Here is a 26,255-nt window from a genome sequence, read left to right on the forward strand (position 1 = left end):
TGATCTTGCAAGTAGACAGACAGCATAGAGACTGGTCAGAGGGTGCCCCAGGATGCCTCTCCCACACCAGTCAGCAAATGGTGTTGTCAGGGGAACATTTGGCTATGGTGATGCCACCAGCAAGGGCTATATTCTGCCAGGGTCAGGAGCTCTGAGGGTTATGACTCAGGTTTGGAGACCCCTTCCGCTGTACTTCATGGACTAATTAAGTGCTTGAGTCAGGCTGAGCCAGTACCAGGGTGTGTCCTTACCCTAGGCAGGCCCAGGAGAGGGGGAGTGAGTCACTGCCGCCTAGTCTCGTGGCAGGAACAGGCAGTGTCCCTCAGAGCTGCCAGGCCACCACCCTGGTCCCCTAGAGGGCAGGGCCTCCCCCTCTTCCTCATAGCTATGGCTCCATGGTGTGATCAGAGACTAGGAAAGCCTTCTGGGAGTAGGCTGGGTGTCGGTGCCTTGGGAGTCCTCTGGCTGAACGTGAGCAGGAGGGGAGAGGGGCCAGGGGCCAAGGGAGACTGGAAGCCTGGATGGCTAGTGCCCCTGCTACCCCTGGGAGGAGCCTGAGGAGAGCGATGGCTGCCTGTACTCACCCAGGCCTGTGTGGGGAGCTGCAGAGACATGAATGAAGCCAAAGGATGAGGGAGAGATGCTGAGCAGATATGAGATAGAAGGTCAGTGTTGGGGGTGGGGATGGAAGGTTCCCTAGGGCCTCTGTGCCATGCCTCTGGGGGTGAGCCAGTGTATCTCCCCACGCCCACTTCTGATTCCTTTGTCATCACTGTGACATCTCCTCCAGGCGAGAGAGACCAGCTGTCATTCTTCTGAAAGCTGGAGAGTTTTGGGTCCCCTCTCTCCAGAGCTGGCCAGAGGCCTGGCCTGCTGAGTGCTTCAGCAGGGGTCACCTAGGCGTGACCTCACTTGCCCTGGCCACCCCTGCTAGGGAGGGTGGTATGGCCCTTTGTTACCCTGTGTCAGCTATGTGGGCATCACTGCCACACAACTGGCCAGTTGGGGGCACATATTTCATTGCTGCTGTGGGGTCTCTTCATGAAGAGAGACCACTGATGGGACATTATTTCTGAGATTACAACAAAACACTTGTGTTTGCTAAAATGTTCCAGTCTTATGATGAAAATGTCCTATTTTTACACTGTCATAGAAGAAATAAAACCAGGGTAAAGTTTCACAGATTATGTAGCTGATTTTGATAGAAAAATCCCCTTTTCCTCTTTGAAGTTAAAGGAAGATACCAGAACCTGGATCTTCTGAGTATGTACTCAGGGGGCTCACAGGTGGTCTCTGTGGCCTCCCCCGGCCCTCTGTGGGAAGGCTGTGGGCAGAATCCTGGGATCCCACACCTGTCAGGGGCAGAGGGAGTTGTGATCCTGCCACTTTCTCACTGTAGAACCTCTGGGGGAGGGGAGGAGGCCATAGCTGTCTCAGGGCCTCTTTCCCCAGCTATAACACAGGAGCCATGTGGGAGGAGAGTGGGTGCCCAGTTCACAGATGCAAGCTGGGGCTTGGGAAGGTGAAAGGACTGGCCATGGTCACACATTTTGCAGGAGGGACATTGTTCAAAAGGATGCGCAGAGTTGTCGAGGGGTGTAAAGGTGTCTGCCACCTGGGAGAGTAGGGGGCTGCCACAAAGAAGTGAAGATGGGCCCCCTCCTATAGTTGACCAAGCTTGAGAGCTGGGTGAGTTCCCTGTTGTGGGTTTCTGTTCTTTCAGTCTTGGTTCCCATTCCCCAGGGTCGCTCCCCTAAGATCAGCCACCCTCTCTCCACCCTGGAGGGTCTTCCCCTTCCTTATTGAGCCTTTCACAGCAAAACAGGATTCGTGGACTCAAGGTTCTTGGTCCACCTTTGAAGAGCCCAGTCTGGCTGTGCCCCTCTGAGGATATGAGACCATTTCCTGTGACCTGCTGAATTGGAGAGGTTCTGCCTCCCCCAGGTCCCCAAGGCTGCACCTAGCTTTCCCTGAATTCTGGGAAACAAGGAGGGGAGGAGTGTAAGGCCATTTCAGGAAGACCCAGGGGAATCCTAAAGCCAGGGGTCCCCAAGCAAACCCAGGAACTGTTTTCACCCATACCATCATGGCCCCCAATACCTTCAGTGTGCACTGGACACCAAGTTCATCTGAGCTCTTTGTGTGTGCTCTCATTCCCTCCTTGTGGCTCCCTGGGAACAGGAGTATTAGCACTATCCCCACTTTCCAGATTGGGCCTGTGAGGCTCAGAGAGGCTGAATGGCCTGCCCAAGGCCACAGGGGAGTTGGGAATAGACCTGGACCCCTGTGGCTGCAGCTAGTCCTGCTGTGCATGGTCCCTGGTCTGGGGCACTGGGACCCTCTAGCACTCACGTTCCCACTGTTCTTCCCTCTTCCTTCCTGGGAGCCTCGCTCAGGTCCCTCTTTCTAGAAGCATTTCCCTCCACTCTTCCCATCCCCCAGACTTAGCATTTCAGCCTTTGTTTCCAGGTTGTCTGGGGCTGGTGGGAAGCAGACCAACTGAGGCCATCAAAATTTAGTAAATTGGAGGAATCTTGTCTTCCTAAGACTTGATGATTTCAAAATTTGTGTTGGCTATCCTGTCCCAGAGCTTCCTGGGAAGACACTAGGCTTGGAACCTCAGCTACTCCCTCCCCTCCCAAGAACTCTGGTGAGAAGTGGTCAGGTGGAGGTTCCCAGCCTGTCAAGCTGCCACCCTGCCCCCCATCAGGTGTCCTGGCCTTGGCCTAGAAGGGGAGTGGTTGTTTAGGGGTCCTCCTTTCTTGTGAGTTCCCTCAGAAGGGGCTGGCCTTCTCCATCTTGCCTGTTCTGCCAGGTTCTGGTTCTGGAAAGAAAGGAGAAGGGAAGGGAAGGAGCCAGGACCAGTTTCCCAGGTGTAGATGTCATCATCAAGCATCCCAGTTGGCAGTGACTCATCCATAGACCCCTAAATCCTTGAGGACAGAGTGCCCATGGCAGCATTCCCAGTCCCAGTCCAGGTCTAGCCCCCAGACAGGGCCAGTACATGTTTGCAGGAGTTGGGAGGGGATCTGTACATGGGCAGGCCTGTACAGTTGAATCCTGGTTCCCAAAGAACTCTGACTCAGTGGTGGCCATGTGCAAACCACGTGACCCAGAGAATCCACAAAGCCTCCCTGACCCTCAGTTTCCTCATCTGAAAATGGTGGCTAACAATGCAGTTGTTGAAGGGCAAGAGCTAATGGGTATGACATGCCTGGTACAGGGCGGGGCTCCGTGAACATCTGCCATTGTTGTAACAGCCACCGAGTAGCAGGGCCTGGTCCAGACCAGGGGCGTGGGCCAAGCTCTCGGAAGGAGTGGCAGGGCCTTCTCTGTTTGCTTTCCCCAGGCTGGTGTTGTGGGGATGAGTGCCTGCTCCAAGCCTTGAAGCTGCATGGAAAAGGGGTGAAGCAGCTATACATGGTCCCCAGTCTTGACTCTCACTGCCCAGCTGTGTGACTTTGGGCAAGTCACTTAACCTCCCAGAAGGACATTTCCCCACAGGTAGAAGGGCGCTGCTGATCCTTGTTGGGTTATGGTGACCACTGTGTGAGGTGGCCTCTGCACAGTACTGGCCCAGCACCAGGGACAGACTGTTGTCCTGTAGGGAGCGCTAATCCCACCTGACTCCATCATTCCCTCAGCACCTACCTGGGGCCTGGACGTTTGGGGTCAGTGGTATCATGTGAGCCGCCCTCCTTGGAACCGAGCCTCTGAGGAGGAGAGGTAAATGGACAGGGTGAGACAGAGGACAGGATGTGGTTGGAACTTAATGAAGCGAGGTCTCATCTGGCAGGAGGCCAACTCATCCATAGCTGCAAAATTGGTTCCATTACCTCCTTTAATGAGCTACGAAAGCTCGGAGAATGAGTTTGTGAGAGAATAATGGCACATGTCTGCAGCTCTGATTTGAAACTGTGGCTAAAAAGTTAGATATTACACTACCTTCCAGCTCTCCAAATAGCACCAGTGCCCTTGTCGGGAGGGAGAGGGAGGACATGGGGGGCAGGAGCGGGGTTCTGGCATTATAAGGAAGATGCTGAAGCTTTAAGAAGGAAAAGTCTGCTTCTGAACTCTGAATTCAGGGTCAATCCCATCCTGACGTCTTCCCTGCAGAGCAGAGGCTGAGGCTGTGACCCATTCTCTGAGTGGGCAAAGCAGCTCACAAGGGTCACACTGGCTGGCAGGGCCGTGTGTGTTAATAGCCCACACAGGTGCCAGCAGCACTGGCAGGGGTTTCAACAACTGGCTGTAAAATAAATTCTGCTATTCCAGTGGTGTCTCTTATATCATTTGAGATGTGATCCTCATGGGAAATAATCCCAAATAATCATACAACTGGGAGCTGGGAGAGATCTTAGAGATGGCTGAGTCGAAGACTTGTCAAGGAGGGAGTATGGTAGGTTCAAAGTGTTTTGTCTTATTCACGGCCTGCCTCTGTAAGAATAGGGGTTCCCAACAATGAAACCTAAATTTCCCTACAACATTCTCTACAGTTTTGCTGCCTGAGATTTCGTGTTGAGCACGTGCACTGAGATTTAATCTTCAGCATTCTGGCCTGCCTTTGCCTGAGGCTGGGATGAGACCCTTAGGTGGGACAGGTGTTGGAGGCCATGCTGGTCCCTGCTGCTCCTCTCCTATCTGTCCTCTGGCACAAAACAAAGCTGGAATCCCAAGAAAATAAAGGTCTGGTGATGTTACCTCAGCACTCCTGGCCCACATGCCAGGCGATAGCTGAGGCATATGTGCTGGCCTCAGTCTTCATGGAGGAATCCATATTAGATATGTTCATTTGAGTCTGTGTCTTTTGCAGAATTGCTGTTGAAGGTGTTGCCAGAAGGTTTTCTCCTATATAAGGTTTGATGTGAAATCCCTTTTAGAATTTCGTCCTAGAAAATGTTCAGTGAATATCTGTGCTCCTCTTCATGGGGGTAATAAAAGCAGCAGAGCCTAACTGGTTTCCTTCTTTGCAAGACTTCCAGGAAGCTCAGAATTATAATTTGTCCTCATTTATAGTTATGAACTTACATGGGTTTCTGGTGCATTTTGTCTTTTTCTTCATTCTAAAGAGAATCTGCTGTTTTTGTTTGGTTTGGCTTCTGTCTTGTTTTAGAATTATAAAATGTCTGAAATACTGTTGTTAATAAGCAGGGCTTGCAGAAATAATGGTGCTTGGAGGGCCTCAAGGGGTGGTGAGAGGAACTAGATCCTTGGCCTCCAGGAGGAAGTTCCCTTTGCTGTAGGGCTGATGTCTCTCATACTGTGAGTTGTCACAAAATCCAGAGCTTCAGCTTCTTAATTTATTACTGCCTCGTTGATGGGAGAGATAAGTCAGCTCTCTTACCCCGGAAACAGTGGGTGTTCTGGCAGAGGCCATACAACAGCCTGGCCGGGGCTGCAGGTTAATTGGCCAGGGGTATGGAGGTTGGGGTTTGGCTGCAAGAGGTGTTGGGGAAACTGCTTGTCCAAGCTGGTAGCCTCGGCGCTTCCTGTATGTGAGAGATGGAGATACTGTGGGCACTTTAACTTGAGAAGAGCCCAGCACTGGGGTGAGCTGGATGGGGACACCCATGTGTGGGTGGGTGGACCTGGATAGGGGGCCCTTCCTGGGCGAGGAAGTGGCTGGAGGAGGGTGTTGGGGACTGGTTCCCAAGAGTCACTGCAGACATCCCAGCTTTGTTCGATCTCTAAGAAGACAGACAGAGTGATTTTCTAGTTCTGGGCAACAAGAAATGTTAGGCCCTGCCATGGTGACCAGTGGGAGAGGAGGTCTGAATGGAGGCATCTGGGCTTGGTCACCTTCTTGCACAGGCTGTCTTAGGTTGAGTTGTAGCAATAAGACCCCCCAATGTTTCTTGGGCACCTCTCCGTGGCCAGTTCTCTGCTAGGTACTTTGGAGAAGTAGAAAATATTAGATGAACAAATGGACAGATGGATAAATCCTGTTCTCTGCGAGTTCAAAGTCAATATTGCAGAGACTGGAGACACACATATGCCCACGGGCCCACACACCCACCCCCATACTCCCCACACACCCATGCACACACCCCTACACACGATGTATGCATGCATGCACACATTCATGTTCCCATGCACACACACACACCCACATGCCCTCCTCATACCCCTACATATGCACTCACCCACGCACTGATGTACACATTTATTTCAGAACAAGCTTCCTGAGTCTTGTGCAAGCTGTGGATTTGGCCAGTGCTGCTCCAACTTGGGGCCACCCCCTCCTCTCATCTCCCCTCAGGGAGGGGTTGTCTGGGTGCTCTCTCAAAAGTCCTGTTCTCCTTCCTCCTCCAGCCTTGCCATCCTGCAGCCAGGTGGCCACAGGGCAATGACTTCATCCTCCCAAGCCCGTGTTTCCTCAATCTGTAAATTGGGGCTAATGGTTCCCACCCTGCTTGCCTCACAGGGTGGCACCAAGCATTCCCATGAGATAAGGGACAGCAGAGTGTTTTGTAAACTGCAAATTGTTTTCCAAACAGGCAAATGGTGCTGTTGTTTTCCCAGCTATGGAACTCAAGAATTCCTCCACCCACAAGTAAACCCTGTCCTTGGGTGGAAAGGGATATAGTGGTGATAGTGAGGGGCCTGGCCTGTTTTGAGGCCCCCACATTCCACCTGGTGATGCTAGAGGGGCACGGGCCCTTCTGCTCTCAAATTTTGCTGGGGCTCACTAGCTGGTGAAGTCAGTAGGGGTCTTGGCCTTCTGGCTGCTGGCTCTGGGGGCAAGAGAGAGAATTTGGCAAAGGAGGATGAGGGGAGAAGGGAAAGTGAAAACCAGTATATCAGAGCCTGAGGCCTGTGGTCACTCGCTAAAGGAAACATCATCTCAAATTCAATGCTTGTTGAGCTTCAGTGGGGACCCACACCTCAGGTGCATGGCCAGGAATCCCCTTCCTCAGGAAGAAGCCCAGTTTCCACCTCACAGGGGTGTGTGTATGTGTACGTCTGTGTGTGTGTGTGAATGTGTGTCTGTGTGTACCTATTGGGCACTAGCTGGAGCTGTGGAGCTGCCCAAGTGCCATCACAGACCCTCCAGTTCTGGTGGACCCCTGGGGAGCTCAGGGAACATAGGAGAGGAATGAGGCAAGGGTGGGGGCCCGTTGGGTTGTCAGAAATCCCCTCCTATCTTCTTCTTCTTTTTTTTTTTTTCTGAGGCAAAGTCTTATTTTCTTGCCCAGGCTGGAGTGCAATGATGCGATCTCGGCTCACTGCAACCTCCACTTCCCGGGTTCAAGCCATTCTCCTGCCTCAGCCTTCCAAGTAGCTGGGATTACAGGTGCGTACCACCACACCCAGCTAATTTTTTTGTATTTTTAGTAGAGATGGGGTTTCACCATGTTGGCCAGGTTGGTCTCAAACTCCTGACCTCAGGTGATCCTCCCGCCTCGGTCTCCCAAAATGTTAGGATTACAGGCGTAAGCCACCGTGCTTAGCCCCTTCCTATCTTCTTGTCTTCCCAGCTGTGACTGGGAACCATGACATCATTGCCCATTTCAGGTAGCCCCCAGTGGGCTCAGGCATGTGGATATGGAGGCCATGGGGACCCAGAGGCTGCTCCATGGGGGCAATGATGTGGGAGTGGTACTATGGTAGGTACTTTGCAAGGAACGCCTGTCTAGAAGTCTGCCTTGTTACCCACTTATCTCCCCCACCCTATATAGCCCAAGCCCTACAGCTTAACTTTGGGGAAACAGAGGCCCAGAGAGGAAAAGGGACTGGCCTAAGGTCATACTGAGAATAGGCATAGAACCTGGGCCTCCTGTGTCCTGGCCCTGTGCTCATTCTCATGCCTGGGAAGATGGAGCTCTTACTTTGGGACATCTTTTGTGAAGAATAGTGTGGAGTCATGTACCTATGTGAAGGAGGCCAACTTGCAGAAATGCCTTGTGGAATGGAGCAGTCATGATGGGCTCCCTGGAAGAGGAGGTAAAGCCTGGTTCAACAGAGAGGGTAGGTGAGGTACAGGCTGCCCTTGGGCAGCAGGGAGAAAGTTTGCCAGGTTGTCATGTCTCCCATTTGTTGAGCCTCACTGGGGCCTCCTCAATTTAATCTTTTTTTTTTTTTTTTTTTTTTTTTTTTTGAGATGGAGTTTCATTCTGTCATCTAGGCTGTAGTGCAGTGGCACGATCTCAGCTCACTGCAACCTCCGCCTCCTGGGTTCAAGTGATTCTTCTGCCTCAGCCTCCTGAGTAGCTGGGGTTACAGACGCACACCACCACACTAACTAATTTTTGTATTTTTAGTAGAGATGGGGTTTCACCATGTTTGTCAGGCTGGTCTCAAACTCCTGATCTCGTGATACACCTGCCTCAGCCTCCCAAAATGCTGGGATTACAGGCGTCAGCCACCACGCCTGGCCAATTTAATCTTATCTTGTCCTCATGATAGGTTGTGAGAGGTTTTCCCCCTCATCCTTACTCTATAGATTTATTAAATCTACAAATATTGATAGGCACAGTGGCTCATGCCTACAATCTCAGTGCTTCAGAAGCCAAGGCAGGAGGATCACTTGAGCCTAGGATTTCGAGACCAGCCTGGGCAACATGATAAAACCCCGTCTCTACCAAAAAAAAAAAAAAAAAAAAAAAAAACCAAAAAAAAAAAAAATTAGCCAGGTGTGGTGGCATGCACCTGTGGTCCCAGCTACTTGGGAGGCTGAGGTGGGAGAATCATTGAGCCCAGGAGATCAAGGCTGCAGTGAGCTGTGACTGTGTCACTGCACTCCAGCCTGGGTGACAGAGCAAGATTCTGTCTCAAAAAAAAAATCTACAACTATTACCTGAGTTAGTGCTCTGTGTCAGGCCCCGTATCCCAGTACTGGGACCTAGAGGTGGCCAGGCAGACTGGCCCTGCCCTGTGGGCCCACAGTCTGATGAGGGAGGCTGCTGGTGTTGGCCTGGCTGGGGGATCAGCCATGTGATTTGGGGCCAGTTACTTCCCCTCTCTGTGCCTCAATTTCTCATCCAAAAAGTGGTGATAATGAAGTCCTTTCCTCCTAATGTTTATAAAGTACTCCAAACAGAGCCAGGCACATTGAAAGTACAATATCTGTATGTGTGTTTTTGCTTAAAGAGTTATCAAAGGAACAAGCTAATTGTATGTTGTGAGCAAGTGCTGCACAGGAAGTGAAAAGGGCGATGACGTGAGAGCTTTCTGGGGAGCTAGGAATGTTTTCTGTCTTGATGGAAGTTTGGGTCCCAAGGGTGTGTGCAATCATCAAAACTCATTGAATTGGACCCTTGAGACCTGGGCATTTTACTATATGTCAATTATACCTCAATAAACAAAGCATATATTGAAAGAAAGAAAAACAAAGGATGAAGAGGGAGGGCTTCTGAGAGGAGATGACATTGAGGTGGACCACATTGAGGGGAGGCCTGGAGGAGAAGGCTCTGGCTATGGGGAAGGAAGATGAGAAAACTGAGGCTCTAGGAGGTTTTGGGCTCAGGGTCAACTCAAGGGGTCAGGAGAGACAGCTCAGGGGATTTCTTGGCAGCTGGACCTGGGCCCAGGCTGAGGGCTCTGGCTCCTGTGATGTACTCTGCAGAGAGGCCAGTGGGGCGTTTATTATATTTTCCGGGGACGGCCCTCTCCCCTGTCCCTATGCCTATTTTCAGGGCTTTGGCGTTTGTAGAGGGACTATTTTAATCCATGTGGGAAATGGGTTCCTAAATATGGACTCAGTGGGGCAGAAGCCTTGAGAGGCTCCAGCTCAGGGCAGCTCCACCTGCTCCTCTACCTCAGCAAAGCACAGGATGCAGGCCCAGGCTGGAAGGCTCTCCAGCCCCTCCTTGGCCATCTACCGCCCTCCTTCTTTCCCTCTGGCTCCTCCTATCTCCCTCCAGTCCTGGGCCCATCCTCCCATCCTTTGTTTGCTCGGAAGCCCAGTGTTTCCTGCCAGGCCCCAGCCAGGGACCCCCAAGTGAACTTGACCTGCCTCTGCCCTCAAGCTGCTCCCAGGGTGGTAGGAGGAACAGAAGCAAAACCAGTAAGAAAGGTGCTGGGAGGGGCCGGGCGTGGTGGCTCACACCTGTAATCCCAGCACTTTGGGTGGGTGGATCACGAGGTCAGGAGATCGAGACCATCTTGGCTAACACGGTGAAACCCCATCTCCACTAAAAATGCAAAAAATAGCTGGGCGTGGTGGCGGGCACCTGTAGTCCCAGCTACTCGGGAGGCTGAGGCAGAATGACGTGAACCCGGGAGGCGGAGCTTGCAGTGAGCCGAGATCGTGCCACTGCACTCCAGCCTGGGTGACAGAGCAAGACTCTGTCTCAAAAAAAAAAAAAAGAAAAGAAAAAGAAAAAAAGGTGCTGGGAGGACTTTCCAGAGAGAGAAAGAGAGAGAGAGAGAGAGAGAGAGAGAGAGATGGAGACAGAGAGAGAGAGAGATTGATCGATCTGAATTGAGCCCTGAAGTTTCCCCAAAAAGAGGGAGTTGACCCAACAGAGAGGATGAGGCAAGAATGCACATGACAGGGACCAGCACAGACCTAGACACAGAGGCCTGGGGGAGTAAGGCCTGTTTGGGAACAACATATATATTTTTCTGGCCAGAACAAAGTGGTTTTGGCCCAGAGGTGGCAGGAAGTGAGGTGGGAAAGGAAGGCAAGCCCTGCGTGCTGGGGGAGGACATTTATCTGGAAGATGTGAGGAAGTGTCTGTGGCCACAGGTGGATTAGAGTCATAAGGGGAGAGGCAGGGCTGAGGACCCTAATGAAAGCATTCCAGCTGTGAGCTTGGACTTTTAAGAGAGAAGAGGAGGACTCTGATGTGGGAGTGAGATGCCACAAGGCAGGCAGTGAGGAGGGAGTGTGGGAGCCAGCCTGGGAGGCCTGACAGGAGATGGTCAGGTCAGACTGGGGAGGAGAGAACCAGGCAGGGGGAGGGGGAGGAGGCAAAGAAGGAACCCGGTGCAGGGAGGGAGGATGGTACCTCTTGGCTCCTGTGGCTGAGGATTGGGGTACCCCTAGCTAGGGCCGCCACAGGACATGGTGGAGGCAAGTGGGGGGCACTGAGCTTTCTGGTCCCAGTGCTGAGAAAGAAGCTGGTGATTGGGAATTGTGCGGGCACTAACCTGAGGGGTGTTCTGGAAGGCAAGGGCAGCATGAGCAAGGATCCATGGTGTCCAGGCAGGAGTGTCTGCCCACAGCAGCCTTGACGCACACCCCCAGCCTGCTCTGGGTAATGGAGCAGGGGCACAGAGCTGCTAGAGGGCTTGTCCAGCCCCTGGCTCTCTGTATTCCTTGCACTGCCTGTATTCCCAGGCTAGGGTTGAGGGGAGCAGCTCCAGAAAAGGAGGGACAGCCAAGGGGCAGCAGGCTCGAGAAACCACTGCCTGCCTCTCCCCTCTCTGGGACACTGCCCTGACCCAGTTTGTCTTTACCTAGAGAGCGTGCATGGTCACAGAGCCTGCCCCTAACAGTGCCCTGTGTAAAGTGGCCTGGCTCTCCCCATCCTGCAGAGGAGGAAATTAAGGCTGGGGCAGCCCAGGGTCCTATGGCTGCTGAGCAGTGCTGATCCGAGCCCCGGTCTTGAGCATCAGCCCTGGTCCCCAGCCCTCCTCCATTAGGAAACACAGTGTCACAGATGGTCCTTGAGTGAGCAACCCTTTTTGGGGGTGGCTTGTCCCTGCTGTCCCCATTCTGGGCCATCTCCTCATGCATGCTGACTTCTTCTTCTCCCCCTACAGCAGGGCCACTGTGAGGCCTTGTTCATTTCTGGTGCTGGTTGGCAGCCACAGTCCAGGGCTGAGTTAACCCGAGCAAGGATCCTGATGCCCGCCCACTGGATGCTTGCCTTGGCTGGGATGCACCCTGTGGGGATGACTCTGCTATTATACCATTTTACAGAGTTGTGGGCTGCAGCTTGGAGCTGTGAATGTATGCCTGAGGTCACACCGAGTCATTGGAGGAATTCAATCCCAAACCCACATCTCACTCCACTCAGCTGTCATCTCCCTCAACTAGGGTCCTCCCTTCCCCCAGTCTCTACCTCTGGGTCCTTACCGGTGATCTGTAAGCATGGAATGAGGGTGGAGGCTGGGCAGCTAGGTCACCTTGAGATGGCCCCACCTCTCTCACAGTGCGATGACATTGTCGCCCTGGTACTGCATAGCAGCTCCCAGGAAGGCTATAAAGTTACCTTGGGAGCTGGGTACTGACTGGGTGGTCATGACCAAGCAACTCATTTTAGAAGCACTTTTCTTGGTAGTGAGAGTTTTGTTCTCATGCCCACTCCTGGAGAATCTGAAGTCTTAATTACTTTTACCCCTACAGGAGTGTGGCCTTGTCTCCCTCCACTCTGGGCCAGTTTCTTTGTGGGAGATAGATTGACAGACACAGGCCTCAACCTCTCCTGCAGGAAGTCTTCCTTCTCACTCCAGCACTCTCCTGATCATGCTGAGTCCTGTAGGGCAGATTTGCGTGTTAGTGCACCCTCTCCCCTCCCCAGCCTTTCCCCAGCACCTTCTGCTTCTACACTTACATTTCTCATAGATGCCCAGGGTGAGAATCACAAGGGAGGCACCAAGGGCCTACTATGTACCAGGTGCTATCCTGTACAATTTACATGTACAATTTCCAACCCTAGCCTAGGAAATGGAACAGCTGTGTCATCCTTATGGTAAAAATGAGGCTCAAGGGATGTGTGGCCCCTGGCTTGGGGTCCCATGGCTGCTGTGTGATTAGAGTGGGGTTATAAAACCCACTCAATTTCCATCTGAGAAGGGAAGCAAGGGCTTCTTTGGCCTCTGAGCCCCTCGAAGCAGTCAGCCACCTCCTACGGACTCCTTGAACTACCTGCCAAGCTGCTTGAGCCCAGGACTGACCCTCAAGTCCAGAGGCTCACTGGACCACAAGTCAGAGAAACCTAGATTCAAATTCTCATTCTGCTCCTTATAAGCTGTGTGACCTGGGGCAGGTCACAGGCCTCAGAGCTTATATGTTTTTGTCTGCAAAATGATGGTAGAGGGCTCTGAGCCTGACACTTTCTATGTGCACCCACCTACAGCTCCTGTATGACAGCCCCAAGGCCCGGCAGGAGGTAGACCATCACTGGCAGGCTTCTGGCGGCCCCCATATTGTCTGCATCCTGGATGTGTATGAGAACATGCACCATGGCAAGCGCTGTCTCCTCATCATCATGGAATGGTATGCTGGCCTGCCCTGTCTCCACACCCCCTCGGCATCCCTGTGGCCCTCAGGCTCCCTGCCACGCTTCTAGGGGCTTTCTTTGTTTTTCAGGTAGCAGATCTGGGTGCCACTGTAGCCCCTGAGGGGCAATGGAGCAGGCAGCCGCAGGCCCTGCCTGTGGATCTATGGAGTTGGCCATAAGGACATTCCCTCAAGGGTGGGCAAGAAACCACAGGGGTTAATATGGCCTCCCTGAGTGTGATTTCTACTCTGTGAGGAGGACTGGAAGAGCTGTCAGAGAAGGCTCCCAATCCCTGAATATGGATGGATGGGGGATTTGGGGAAGAACAGGACCCACGCAGTTCCCTCAGCTTTCTCTCCTTTTGACCTGGGTATGTGCTCCCATGGTCCCACCAGGAACTGGGTGCTTGGGGCCTAGAACCAGGAGCCAGTGGCCTTTTCCACCCTGGGCTTCTTCCTGTAACACCATGGCTCAGCACCAGCCATCCTTGGACCGGTTAGCCAGTTCTTCAGATTTGGGGTTCAGATCCTGCCTCTGCTACCCACTAGCTATGTGACCGTGGGCAGCTCTTAACCTCTCTGAATCTCTGTAACTCAGATGTAAGATGTGGGAAAGATCTTAATGTAGCATTTACCCTGTGCTTGACTCCATTCTAAGTGGCCCATGTGTATTGCATATTCAATCTGCATGACTATGGGGTTGGTGCTGTCATCCCTATTATACAAAAGAGATAGCTGAGGCACAGAGAGGTGAAAGAACCAGCCCAGGATCACACAACAGCGCTCATGAAACGTGGATCCCAGGGCATGGCACACAGTAGGTGCCCAGAGAACAGTGGTCATATGATGATAATTAACATCTCATCCCACATTTGGGGAAACAGAGACTTGAATGGGGTTGGGAGTACCCAAGCCCTCACAGTCAGGTAGGGGCCGTGCCACTGGGAACACACAGGCTTCTTGGCAGGGATCAGAGCCCACCACCCTCTTCTAGTTCCAAGAGTTCAGTTCAACCCACCTAAGCTGACAACCCACCATGCACCAGGTTCTACAAGGGACAGGGAGGCTGACAGTGGCTGTTCAGTAGGGGAGGAGCGGAGCAGCAGGGTCTGAAGCCTGGGCCTATGATTTGGGGCAGGGGCAAGGGTAGGATGATGTGCAGTTTCCCCCTCTCTGCTTATAGTCACCTCTTTTACAGCATGGAAGGTGGTGAGTTGTTCAGCAGGATTCAGGAGCGTGGCGACCAGGCTTTCACTGAGAGAGGTATGTGCATGTAGCTGGACCAGCAGGAGGATTCAGGGTGAGAGGTATGGACCAGAGCGTTGTGTGTGATGCTAGGCAAGACCCTGTTCCTCTCAGTCTTCCCATCTGAATAAGAAAGGGTGAGACTCAGTGTCCATCCCCACAAGGGACTCTCTGAGTCTGAGACACTTTGTCGAACTTGGACTCTCTATGGCTTTGGGATGGAGGCCTCAAAGCCTCTTGATGCTGTCTCGCAGTTGAGCTGGGGAGAGGTAGCTCAGGACTGAGGAAAGAAGTTTAGATGGGTTGGGGGTATCCTCGGAGGAAACTGGGGTGTCTGGGGTGGCGTAGACATCCCGGGATAGAGAACCTGGATAGCAGGAGTGCTGTCACTGTCTTCTTGTCTTGTGCTGGCCTGTTAGACTGTGTCCAGGAGGGATGATAGGGTGGGGGCTTGACCTTTGACTGGCATCACTGACCCCCTCCTCCTCTGTTTCTGCAGAAGCTGCAGAGATAATGCGGGATATTGGCACTGCCATCCAGTTTCTGCACAGCCATAACATTGCCCACCGAGATGTCAAGGTGAGGCTCCAGGATTCAGGTTGGGGGCCCGGGGAAGAGGATATTGTCCCACTCCACAATCCCTGATGGCATCCAGGACCCACTGGATGGAGGCCATGTTCCCTAGTCACATTCAAAGCCTCTGCTCTGTGTCCCAGACTGCTTTTCTCAGCCTCTTCTCTAGTTTCAGCATACTCATTCTGTTCTCACCAGGTGGGTCCCCTTGCTTCTTTCAAACACTGAGTAATCCAAATAGTAATAAGAATAACTGACTGCCTGCCTAAAGCCAGCGGGCCCTGACAAGCAATCTCATTTCATTCTCACCCAGCCTTGTGAGATAAGTGCCATTACCCATTTTACAGATGAGGAAAACAAGGCTCAGAAAAACATTAAGTGACTTGCCCAGGGGCTGTGTAGTTGCTGCACTGGGATTCATTCATTCATTTGTTTACTTGTTCAGCAAGAAATTTTGTGTGGATGCAATGTGCCAGGCCTCAGGCAGGGGCTGCCTGATGCTGTTGGTTTTTTTTGTTTTGTTTTATTTTGTTCTGTTTTTTTGAGACAGAGTCTCACTCTGTCACCTAGGCTGGAGTGCAGTGGCGCAATCTCGGCTCACTGCAGCTTCCGCCTCCCAGGTTTAAGCGATTCTCCTGCCTCAGCCTCCCAAGTAGCTGGGACTACAGGCGCACACCACCACACCTGGCTAATTTTTGTATTTTTCGTAGAGATGGGGTTTCACCATGTTAGGCAGGTTGGTCTTGAACTCCTGACCTTAGGTAATCCGCCCGCCTCGGCCTCGAAAAGTGCTGGGATTACAGGCGTGAGCCATTCCACCTGGCCCTGTTGCGGCTTTTGTGAAGTCACAGCCATAGCTTTGACAGATCAGGCCCCCTGATACCAGCATTTTAAGGGAAAGAAGCCATTTGCTGAGCCCTGGAGGAAGGAACAGAGGTAGTGCCAGTTGTTGGGCCACCTTCCAGTCTTGAGGCTGGAAGCTCAGCTCTCCAAATTTCCTATCCTGGGAGGACTGGGTCTTAGAGGTCATCTGGATCAGATGGATGAAATGCAAACCAAGGCAGCACACACATGCATGTGCACACAAGCATGTGTGAGCACTATCAGAGCAGAGTCTGCTCCTCCTGGGCCCTCTGCCCCAAGCCTAGAACGTTACCTTCCTTGGCTTATTTCCTCCTCAGACTGGGCAGAGGCGAGCTGAGGTTACAGCTGCTGCATAAGGTCCTCCCTCTGGCTGAGCACCCCAACCTGTAAATCCTTGCTTTATTTGGACCCTGGCTTTTTTTTCCCGAAGAGAGAAAAGCCTTCTGCAGAGGAGATTCCCTTGAATAGACTAAAACTGCTTCTCTGTTTTTATCACAATTGAGAAGGTCAGATCTTCTCAAATGGAACCTGAGAAATAGCATCCATTGGTTCTAAACCACCACCCCATCCTTCTACCAACACCCCATCCTTCTACCCCGGCTCTGCTTGGGGGTCTCTTCTGCCCCTCTCCATGGGCCTACATCCTACCTACCATTCATTAAAAACCAGTTTCAGGGACAGACCTCCCTACTGCCCTCATCTGCCAGGCCCCTGGCTACTCCTGGGACACAGGAAGATTGCCCCTGTGCAGCTCCTGGGGTCTGGGGTCTGAGCAACCAGGGCCTTCTCCCCTGAGCAACCTCAGATGGGGCTGTCCTTCTAGCCCTGTAGGATTCACTCTGGGCTGGGTATGGGACATGTGCTTGGCAATACTGACTTATGAGCAGCCTGCCTTCCCCCAGCACCCTTGCTCTAGCATTTCATGGCAATGTCACCAACTCAGGATCAGAAGTTCCTGCTCCGAGGCTTTCTATGGCACTTGGTCATTCACAGCCTTGGCTGAGCACCTGCCTTGCTTCCCCTTTTGTGAATGAAGGTAGCACCTTGGGTTTCTCTATATTTGGCCCATGTTAGTGGGCAAGGCCCGGGTCTTTTTATAAATGGACCTGGCTCCTTCTGCACTGGGATGGAGTCGGGGAGTCTGGCTGAAGATCACCTTGGGGCTCTGCTCCTGCCTGGTTCCTAACTCCAAACCAATGTTTTCTCTTTCTGGCCCAGCCTGAAAACCTACTCTACACATCTAAGGAGAAAGACGCAGTGCTTAAGCTCACCGATTTTGGCTTTGCTAAGGAGACCACCCAAAATGCCCTGCAGACACCCTGCTATACTCCCTATTATGTGGGTGAGTCCTTCGGACATGAGTTGTAACTCCTCACCCCAACTTATACAGCTGTATTATGGGGTAGCCAGTGGGTTGCAGAAACCAAAGGGTTAAAGCCCAGCAAGGAGGGAGGGGGAGAATTCTGTCTGCATGGAGGCGGGTGACGTGGGGGGCCGGAGGCTGCAAAAATATTCTCCCAAACTTCAGCTTCTGCTTTTGAAAATAGATCCAGGAAAATTCTGGCTGTGGCCTGTGAGCTGAATGACATCACAGCAGCTCTAAATATATATGTGATAAAAGGCTGCCATCAGCTTGGGACGGAGCCCAACCGCGGTTGTTTTTCTCTAGTTTTTGTCTTCCTGGGATTCATATTCAGAAAGTGGGCATGCATTTCCTCCTAACTTGGAGGGACAAAGGGTACCAGTCACCTGCCTTGTGGGAGACGGTCACTAAAGCCAGGGCTTGGAGGTGTGCACATACTCATGCTTCCTGGAAAAGTTCACTGCCCTTCTGCAAGTGGGCAACCCCCGGATCTGAAAATGTTCCTTGCCAAAACTGCCCCCTAACCTGAGAGTGGGGTGATGACAGAGGGCTTTTCTCCCTCAGAAGAGGTCTTCCTGGAGGGCTGCTGAAGGGGTGGGAAGTTCCCTGAGACAGTTGAAATGGCACTCTGTTAACTAGGATGTGTTTTGCACTAAGTATTTTAACTTAGAAATCTTCTAGCCTACCCACCTCATTGCACAGGGAAGACAAAGGCTCCATGGATTGGTAGCCAAGCTGATGATGGAATGCAGAGCCCTGTCCCTGGTTCTTCCTTGCCTGTGACCTAGGCTATGCATTCAGGGAGGCAAGGGACACAGGACAGCTGGCAGGCCAAGACCCTCTCACCTACGGTAGCTTCCCACCAAGCCCCAGACTGGCCTTCTCTTCTCTTCTTTCACCAAGGTTGAGACTGGTAGAGGGGCTCAGGCCCAAGGGAGCTAGGGGTATGTCTGAAAGTGGTTGATTTTTTTCCAGGAGCTTTCTCCTCCCCCAACTTCACACACATGCTGCCTTTCCAAAAGGTGCCAGACGCCAGTCTGCTCTGCCCTACCTCCCAGCCCAGGTACCTGCTCCCCACCTTGCCCAGGCTTTAGGCTCCTGCCTGGGCTCCAAGACCCTTGGGTCTGAGAGCCCTGCTGTCCCTCTGCCCTGGCAGCCCCTGAGGTCCTGGGTCCAGAGAAGTATGACAAGTCATGTGACATGTGGTCCCTGGGTGTCATCATGTACATCCTGTGAGTACCTTCCCCACCCCCTGCCTCCATCTCCTGCCCTTACCCCCACTGTGAGCCCTCAGGACCACTTCTGTCCCCCCACCCCCATGTCCTTGGTGAGGAGCTTGTGTGTGTCACTCCTCATGCAGGCTGCCCTTCCCTTTTGGTCATGGGACACCACTCCTTCAGGTGCCTGAGGGTCTCCCCATGCCAAGGGCTGATGGCATTCCTGGGATGTGCCTGGGAGTCCGGAGGGCTGGTATTATTGCTATGGTGTCTGGTTGTCTGTCTCCCCAGTCAGGGGCTTTTGAGGGGAAATGGGTCCACCCTGGCACTGCTCCCACCCTATGCCAAATGACTTACCCCTTCCCCCAGCCTTTGTGGCTTCCCACCCTTCTACTCCAACACGGGCCAGGCCATCTCCCCGGGGATGAAGAGGAGGATTCGCCTGGGCCAGTACGGCTTCCCCAATCCTGAGTGGTCAGAAGTCTCTGAGGATGGTGAGTGAACCTCTCTGTCCCAGCCTGACTCACCTGGCCCCTGCGGCTTTCATTCTGGGAAACATCACTTTGGTGTCAAACTGACCTGTGTTCAAATCTTGGCTCCCCCTCTTTCCAGCTATGGGACCCTAGGCAAGTCCCCTAACCTTCTTGAGCCTCAGTTTCTACATCTGCCAAACAGGCTCAAAACTTGCCTCCTCAAAACTCCCTCTAACTCCTATTCCTCATTCATATTTTCCCCTTTGAGGACCACAAACAAGGCTGCCCTGTATGAGTTATCTACTGCTGCTTAACCAATTATCCTGAACACTTAGTGTTTCAAAACAAGAAATAGTTGTTAGCTCACTCTTTCTGTGGGTTGGGAATTTGGGAGCACATGCAGCCCCTGCCCCAGCAGAGCTTGTGGTCTGTGGGGAAGGGTGGAGGGGCTGGCTCTGCAATCTCATCTCTCCCCTCTCTTCCCTGGCCCCCCTAGCCAAGCAGCTGATCCGCCTCCTGTTGAAGACAGACCCCACAGAGAGGCTGACCATCACTCAGTTCATGAACCACCCCTGGATCAACGTGAGCCCCTCCTCCTCCCATGGCAGGCAGGGTGTCCAACAGGAGTGGGGCTGCCGGGCAGGAGGGTGGTGGCTCTGCTTTGAGGCCCCAGTGCAGGGCTGGAATGGGCCCATGCACACAGGTAGATACTAGGGCCTCACCTACAACCTGGCTTTGTCACTGCCCTAGTGAGGCTCCTTCCCCACCCTGAGCCTTGGTTTTTCCATCTGAGTCTGGGAGAAGAGGATGGAGTAGGGGGAACCAGTGCTGTCCCAGGTGCCTCCAGTTTCTAATCCACGGGCGTGGGGCTCCTTCCAGCAATCGATGGTAGTGCCACAGACCCCACTCCACACGGCCCGAGTGCTGCAGGAGGACAAAGACCACTGGGACGAAGTCAAGGTGGGTGGGCTCTGCCTCAGTCTCAATACAGGTGCCAGGATTTGGGCAAAAGGGACTTCAGGGGGGTGGCTACCCAGGGTCTGGGGTCTTTGGCCCCTTTCTATACCTGGAGCACAGGGTGTCAGTGACTGTCGCAGTGGTCCAACCATGGCACTCCAAGGATTGGGCCTCACTACGCCATTCAGTGTGGTGCTCCTGGCTCACTTCCTCAATGAAACGGGGCTTTGGTACCAAGCTTGGATGATGACCTCTCTTATAACCAACAACATTTGGGAGGGTGGTCAGCCTGGTTTAGACCCAGCAGAGGCCACGTTTGAACATATGGAGTAGCAGCTCCAGTGGCACAATCTCCAGGCCCCAGTGCGCTGGTTGCCCAGCGAGATGGCATTCTCTGCAGGTCTTGTGGTTCTGTGGTGGAACTGGTTTAGTTCACTATCCCACTTACCCTTGGTGTGGTCCGAGGGAGTAACTCTCCTTTTGTGCCTTAGTGAATAAGCTCAGTGTCTACCACAGAGGACGGTAGTGAGGATCATGTGATGCAAAGGGCTTGGCCCAGTGCTGGGCACACAGTGGGCACAGAGGCAGCACAGGCTGTCACTGACATTAAGGGGCTGCCCAGGCAGGGGGGTGATGGTTCCTAAGGTCAGTACATCCTGACCTCTTAGTGCCCACCATCCTGTCTGTCCCCAGGAGGAGATGACCAGTGCCTTGGCCACTATGCGGGTAGACTACGACCAGGTGAAGATCAAGGACCTGAAGACCTCTAACAACCGGCTCCTCAACAAGAGGAGAAAAAAGCAGGCAGGCAGCTCCTCTGCCTCACAGGGCTGCAACAACCAGTAGCTCATGGGGCCTTGGAGGAGCCTGGCCTCTCAGCCTGCATAACAGACTGAAATGTGCTCAGGCCCTGGCCAGGAGGGCCCAGGGTCATTCTTTTAACAAAAGGATTATTTTGTTGTGTTTTAATTTGTCACTCGGAACTTCAGGATGGAGGACCCTGACCCTAAACCTCCTTCAGATCTCTGGCCCAGGCTCAAGCCCTAGAGATGGGCAGGGCCTAGGGGCTGGGAGCTGCCTGCTGCCATAGCAGCACCTTTAGCTAGGTTGGCCCGAGTGAGGCCTCTGTGCTGTCCTGCCCTGGTGCATGGCCTTAGCTTTCTAGGCCACTGGGAGTTGTGGCTGGGCTTCCCATCTTCCACAGAGACATCTCCCTGTGGGATGGGCAGATGGGCCTGGCCTTGAGAAAGGCATTGGCCATTGGTTGCCATGGTGACCAGGGACCACGTTGCTGCCTGTGAATGCTGAGTGAGCGAGTAAGGGAGGAGGGGCGATTGAGGGTTCACCTCTGCCTTGGGGAGGCTGATTTCTCACACACTGGCTGGCCCTCTCATTCTCACTCCTCCTTGGGCCCTGAGGCTGCTGGATCCGGTCTGCCTGCCTCCCTGTGCAGTCCAGCCCTGCCTTGCTGCAGCCCCAGCCCAGATGGCACTCAGCGCTCTCCCCTGAGGGAGTCCCTGGGCCTAGCCATCCCCTCACTATTCCCGACCCAAAGGGTGACTTTTCATCTGAACTTAAGGTGGGAGATATTTTTAACTTTTTTCCACTTTGGAAAATGTCACTGTGACAAAAGCCAGCATACTTTCCCTGCACCCATCTGCTCACCAGATCTCAGGCAGGAAAGCCCCTCTCTGTTGAAGTCAGGGGCTATCTTTTGGTATACTTGTGTGAAAGTGGCTGGTTGGGAGCAGAGCTAAGTGGCTTCCCATTAACCTGAGGTCTCTTTCTTTACTCTGGGTCAGACCTGAGGTTGGGGAAGGCGACTGAGCCATGCTCAGAATGTCTGGTCCTGGCTTGGGCCTGAGTAGGGCAGAGAGGGCCTTTCCTGGCTGATCAGAGCTTACCAGCCCCACCCCACCATGGTAGCCTTAGGGTGCTGAGTGCCTGATACTGCCTGACAAGTGCCTGACACGCAGCCTAGTTCCTTCCTGGCCCCTCTCTCACTGGCTGGGAAACCCTAGACCATGTCAGATAGGACAACACTGCTGGGTTTTACATCCAGATAGTAATAAACACCATTTCATCATTTTCTCTTGGCTCCTGGGTTTACTCTTTGTCTACAGGGGTGGACAAAGGTGGCCCAAGGGCAGCTTCTCAGACCCACTAGTGATTTCACCCCAGCTGGAGGGGGTGCCTCAGGCCTGATAAGCATGCCATGCTAACTCCAAGGCCAGAGTCCTCGCCAGGCCTAGAAAGGTCAGAAGAGCTGAGGGATGGCAGCTGCCACATGCCCCCAGCTCTGTGCTGCCCCTGTGCAGTGTGTGTGACACCTACCCCCGGTCCTGTGTGTGCCAGCATCTGCCCAGAGTGGCCACCCCCAGCTGTGTGCCAGCCTGCTGAAGGGCGGGCAGAGTGCCTGCTGCAGCGCTGAGCTATTTTCAGAAACTGCCAGATTTCATTTGGCAGTGAGAATATCGAGGAGGGGAGGGGGCGGCATGCTGCAAGACTGTCTTTTGACTACTCCAGTAAGAGAGCACTCTCACCCCTCCGGAGCCCTTGTGGGTAGCTTCAAGGAGGGCCCTAACTGTGGCATTTCTCTCCCAGCTCCTATCTTGAGAAACCTCCCAGTTTTCCAAGAGCTCATCTGCTGCCTGCAGCGCTCTCTCCTCCACCCCCACTTCCTTCAGGGCGTGGGGGAGGGTGCAGAGATGCTGGAAGGCAGGGGACAGGCAAACACGCCTGAGATGTTCTGCTGCTTCCCAGCCTGGTGACCTTGGGAGCTTTCTTGGCCTCAGTTTCCTCAGCTGTGTCCTGGCGATGATAATGCCCATCTCATGGAGTCATGTGGGGGATTTGAGCAGATGATGTGTGTGAAGTACTTAGTGAGGTGCCAGGTGCGTGGCTCATGCCCCACACTCATTAGCTACTCTAACATCCTTAGTCATCAGGAAGGAGAGAAGTATCTAGAGTTATATCTAGAGTATCTAGAAGTCTCTAGAAGAAAAAGCAGCCCCAAGTCTGCCTCAGGAAGGAGAGAATATCTAGAGTATCTAGAAGTCTCTAGAAGAAAAAGCAACCCCAAATCTACCTCAGGAACTTTCTATCCAGACAATCAGGGCTTCCTCACCCATGGGGTTTCATTTCCAAGGGCCTGCTCCCCAGAGCAGCATCATGTGGGCCTCCTGGGCTTTGTTTCCAGTACTGGGCTTCCAGGAGGGTAGCCAGATAAATTCAAGAGACTCCATGGAGCCTGTGGTTCAGCCCAGCCTTCCTAGTATACCCTACATTTGGAGGAATGCTGGCCAGATGCAAAGGTAGATGTAGTCCATCTAGTCTCAAAGCTGTGGAGGCACAGATGGCCTTCCTTGCTTGGCTGCCAAGCATCCAGTGTACCTGAGATGCTGTGCTGGGTGCAAGGAAGGCTGCAGTGAGAACTTCAGACAGGGAGTTCACCTCAAGGTGTTTACATTCATGCGGGAGAAGGTGAAAACATCACATGTTGAAAAATGTTAAATTGGCCGGGCGTGGTGACTCACGCCTGTAATCCCAGCACTTTGGGAGGCCGAGGCGGGCAGATCACAGAGTCAGGAGATCAAGACCATCCTGGCCAACATGGTGAAACCCCATCTCCACTAAAATATAAAAAGTTAGCTGGGCGTTGTGGCAGGTGCCTGTAATCCCAGCTACTCGCGAGGCTGAGGCATGAGAATCACTTGAACCTGGGAGGCGGAGGTTGCAGTGAGCCGAGATTACGCCACTGCACTCCAGCCTGGCGACAGAGCAAAAGTCCATCTCAAAAAAAAAAAAAAAGTTTAATCAAGGTCTTGATATGATCTGTGATGGAAGAACATGGTTCCAGGAGAAGGAGGTGTCATGGGACAGTTTGAGCCAAAGAGAGAATATATGCATCCCAGTGCTGGGAAAGGTGCCTGATAGGATACAGGGTTGCAGGCAGAAGTGCAGGGACCAGGGCCTCAGGGACAGAGGGTCTCCCTGCTCTAGGACTCCCGTCTGCCACTCTGCTCTGCCAGTCTGTGCTTCTTCCTGGGGCTGTCCTTGATCCTTTGCCTGCACTGGGTTTTTTTTTTTGCCTTCTCCATAGCTCTGGCAAAACTAGAGCTGCAGAAGTTCTAGCTGGGGAGGTCATCTGCTCAGGTGTCCACATGTCAGTTTCAGGGGAGGGTTCTTGTTGGTCACATTTGGCCCCTTGCTGTTGTTGGGGAGAGGGTAGGGCCCCTCCTGTAACTAGGTGGGGAGGGGTGCCCTAGAAGCAGTTAGCAGAAGAGCAGATGGAAAGATTGCCCCATTATCTCCCACATCTGGCTACTTCCAAGAGCCCATGAGGAGTCTGGGCCAGCCGCTAGCCCAGCCCAGGGCCTGGCTCCGTGATCTCCAGCATCGGGTGTCGCTCTTACAAGCCAGGACTGGGAGGCTGGATGCCTGGCCAAGTCACATTCCTTTTTGGGCCTCAGTGTGGCTGTCCGTGAAATGGGAGCAAATCTCTGACAATCAGCTAGTATTAGGTGAGCTAAGAAGCCAAGTGGCCACTTGTTCTCATCAGCGAGTCCAGACGCACAGGCATTTGCATGAGCTCTATGATAACTTCCCTGGCAGCTTTTGGTAAGGAATTCCGTAAGAAGCTACTTGGGAGGCTGAGGCAGGTTGAGCCCAGGAGCTTGAAGTTACAGTGAGCCATGATTGTGCCACTGCATTCCAGCCTGGGCAACAGAGCGAGACTCTGTCTCTTAAAAAAAAAAATTCCATAAAAGTTATATACACACGTGTGCACATGCGTGTGTGTGTGTGACATCTCTTCCTAGTGATGTTCCCCCTGACCTGGCCAACAGCCCTGATTCTGTCCTCCAAACCTGATGCTGGCTGGCTTCCAATAGCCTGGCTCATTGCTATTCTACACCAGCCCCTCTCTGCCCTCAATTCAGCCCCTCCACTGCAGTGTCAGAATTGAGCCTCAAAATGCAGCCTGCTACAGCCTCTGCAGGGGTCTCCATGCTTCCAAGCCTGCTTGAAACTTTCTTTATGGCAGGCATGGGGAGGGGGGAGGGCAGGCCGTGTGTGGCTGTCACCAGACCTGGCTGCCTTGGGCCTGGCTGCTTTGGGCCGAGCCTTTGCATCCCTAGTGGGTCCTCACGGCTGCCCATAAACCCAGCAGGGTAAAATTCTTCGTTTTGTCATACTGAGCAGCCAGCATGCTTAACCAGCAGGCAGGGAAGGGTCTGGCAAGCCCACCTCCCCTGCTGTGTGTGGGATGGAGTGGGGTTGTCTAGAGCCAGGAGACCTGAGCTTTGGTTTACATGAGGCCTTGAGCAAAGCAGTTCTTATTTTTGAGGTTGCCCATCAGTAAAATGAGAGGCTGAATTAACAGGACCAGACTATTCCAGCACCCTTGACAGACACATCACCACCAGTTGATGGATTGTGAGGAATGCTCTATGTTCAGGCAGATCATGCATTTTTCCAAGCCTCAGTTTTCTTATCTGTTAGCATGATCCTCACAAGGATGGGGCAGGGCTGCAATGAAGACAGGGACAGGGATGGCCGAGCCCAAAGGCCTTGGTCACCAGCATAGCCCAAGCGTCTGCTAGGTGATGCACTAAGCTGCCCAGCACTCTGCCAGTTCTACCCTCTCTGTGTCCCCTGACCAGGAGAAGGCAGCTGTTGACTCAAGGGAACAAGTTCCCTGGGGCTCAGAGGAGCTGGCAGAGAGGTTAATTGGGGTGTGGGGCCACCTGCTGGTCACCTGGGTGAGTATTCAGTGGGCACCTACTGTGTGCCATAGCCTGAAGGAGCTGTGGGGCAGGGGAGAGACCACAGCACCATAATGAATAGCTGACACTTATTGAGTGCCTACTGTGTGCCAGGACTGTGCTAAAGCTTTACATGGATCATCTCACTTAGTCCTCACTTTCTCATCTTACAGGTAGAGAAACTGAGTCCCAAGCTCTTAGCCGCTGCTCTCTGTGCTAGAGGAGGTCAAAGGAAGGAAATGCTGTTTTTGGCTAGGGGCAATCACAGAAGACTTCCAAAAGGTGGTGACAATATGAACTCAAAGGGAAAGCCAGATTTGGATAGACAAACATTTAGGGACTTAGCTGGCAGGTACACGGGGAGGCAAGGCATTTTGTGTGAAGAATGGAAAACAAGTCTATTTACTGGGTGAGAGGCAGCCATGGCACAGGGGTCTCTCATTTCCTTGTCCCATCTCCTGTAGGAAGTCAGAATGGGGTGCTCAGGGATGAGACAATGGGCCCCTGGTAATAGCTCCTCTCTCTTAGAGCCCCCAGGGTTCTCCCATGGGTAGTGCATTCCCCCTCCACATGTGCACCTCTGGCTCCTCTGGAGATACACTCAACCAATGTGTCAGACAATCTATC

At 53.0% G+C, this 26,255-nt stretch overlaps 1 protein-coding gene across 8 annotated transcripts in view, besides 6 other annotated features; it reads left to right on the forward strand.

Moving 5' to 3' along the window:
• The window catches only part of MAPKAPK3 (MAPK activated protein kinase 3), a 37,772-nt gene extending 15,818 nt beyond the window's left edge, over positions 1-21,954 (forward strand). For all 8 annotated transcript variants that reach the window (XM_047448883.1, XM_047448887.1, NM_001243926.2 and 5 more), the window contains 9 exons: positions 13,029-13,168; positions 14,370-14,434; positions 14,916-14,995; positions 17,072-17,195; positions 18,373-18,448; positions 18,803-18,927; positions 19,403-19,488; positions 19,786-19,866; positions 20,557-21,954. In XM_047448883.1, the coding sequence (XP_047304839.1) occupies positions 13,029-13,168; positions 14,370-14,434; positions 14,916-14,995; positions 17,072-17,195; positions 18,373-18,448; positions 18,803-18,927; positions 19,403-19,488; positions 19,786-19,866; positions 20,557-20,709 (930 nt within the window). In that variant the 3' untranslated portion in view covers positions 20,710-21,954. The remainder of the gene's footprint in view (positions 1-13,028; positions 13,169-14,369; positions 14,435-14,915; positions 14,996-17,071; positions 17,196-18,372; positions 18,449-18,802; positions 18,928-19,402; positions 19,489-19,785; positions 19,867-20,556) is intronic.
• Positions 19,741-20,240: an enhancer, noted in NCBI's record as "H3K4me1 hESC enhancer chr3:50684509-50685008 (GRCh37/hg19 assembly coordinates)". NCBI's record gives its function as "activates a minimal SCP1, AML or CMV promoter by ChIP-STARR-seq in primed H9 embryonic stem cells {active_cell/tissue: H9 hESC(primed)}" and the evidence as "EXISTENCE:reporter gene assay evidence [ECO:0000049][PMID:30033119]".
• Positions 21,732-22,285: an enhancer, noted in NCBI's record as "H3K4me1 hESC enhancer chr3:50686500-50687053 (GRCh37/hg19 assembly coordinates)". NCBI's record gives its function as "activates a minimal SCP1, AML or CMV promoter by ChIP-STARR-seq in primed H9 embryonic stem cells {active_cell/tissue: H9 hESC(primed)}" and the evidence as "EXISTENCE:reporter gene assay evidence [ECO:0000049][PMID:30033119]".
• Positions 23,741-24,674: an enhancer, noted in NCBI's record as "H3K4me1 hESC enhancer chr3:50688509-50689442 (GRCh37/hg19 assembly coordinates)". NCBI's record gives its function as "activates a minimal SCP1, AML or CMV promoter by ChIP-STARR-seq in primed H9 embryonic stem cells {active_cell/tissue: H9 hESC(primed)}" and the evidence as "EXISTENCE:reporter gene assay evidence [ECO:0000049][PMID:30033119]".
• Positions 24,675-25,608: an enhancer, noted in NCBI's record as "H3K4me1 hESC enhancer chr3:50689443-50690376 (GRCh37/hg19 assembly coordinates)". NCBI's record gives its function as "activates a minimal SCP1, AML or CMV promoter by ChIP-STARR-seq in primed H9 embryonic stem cells {active_cell/tissue: H9 hESC(primed)}" and the evidence as "EXISTENCE:reporter gene assay evidence [ECO:0000049][PMID:30033119]".
• Positions 24,675-25,623: a biological region, named in NCBI's record as "H3K4me1 hESC enhancer GRCh37_chr3:50689443-50690376".
• Positions 25,474-25,623: an enhancer, noted in NCBI's record as "active region_19914". NCBI's record gives its function as "activates an Ori minimal core promoter by ATAC-STARR-seq in GM12878 lymphoblastoid cells {active_cell/tissue: GM12878}" and the evidence as "EXISTENCE:reporter gene assay evidence [ECO:0000049][PMID:35858748]".

The sequence above is a fragment of the Homo sapiens genome, chromosome 3 (genome assembly GCF_000001405.40).
Source record: "Homo sapiens chromosome 3, GRCh38.p14 Primary Assembly".
In the NCBI taxonomy this organism is placed as follows: domain Eukaryota; kingdom Metazoa; phylum Chordata; class Mammalia; order Primates; family Hominidae; genus Homo; species Homo sapiens.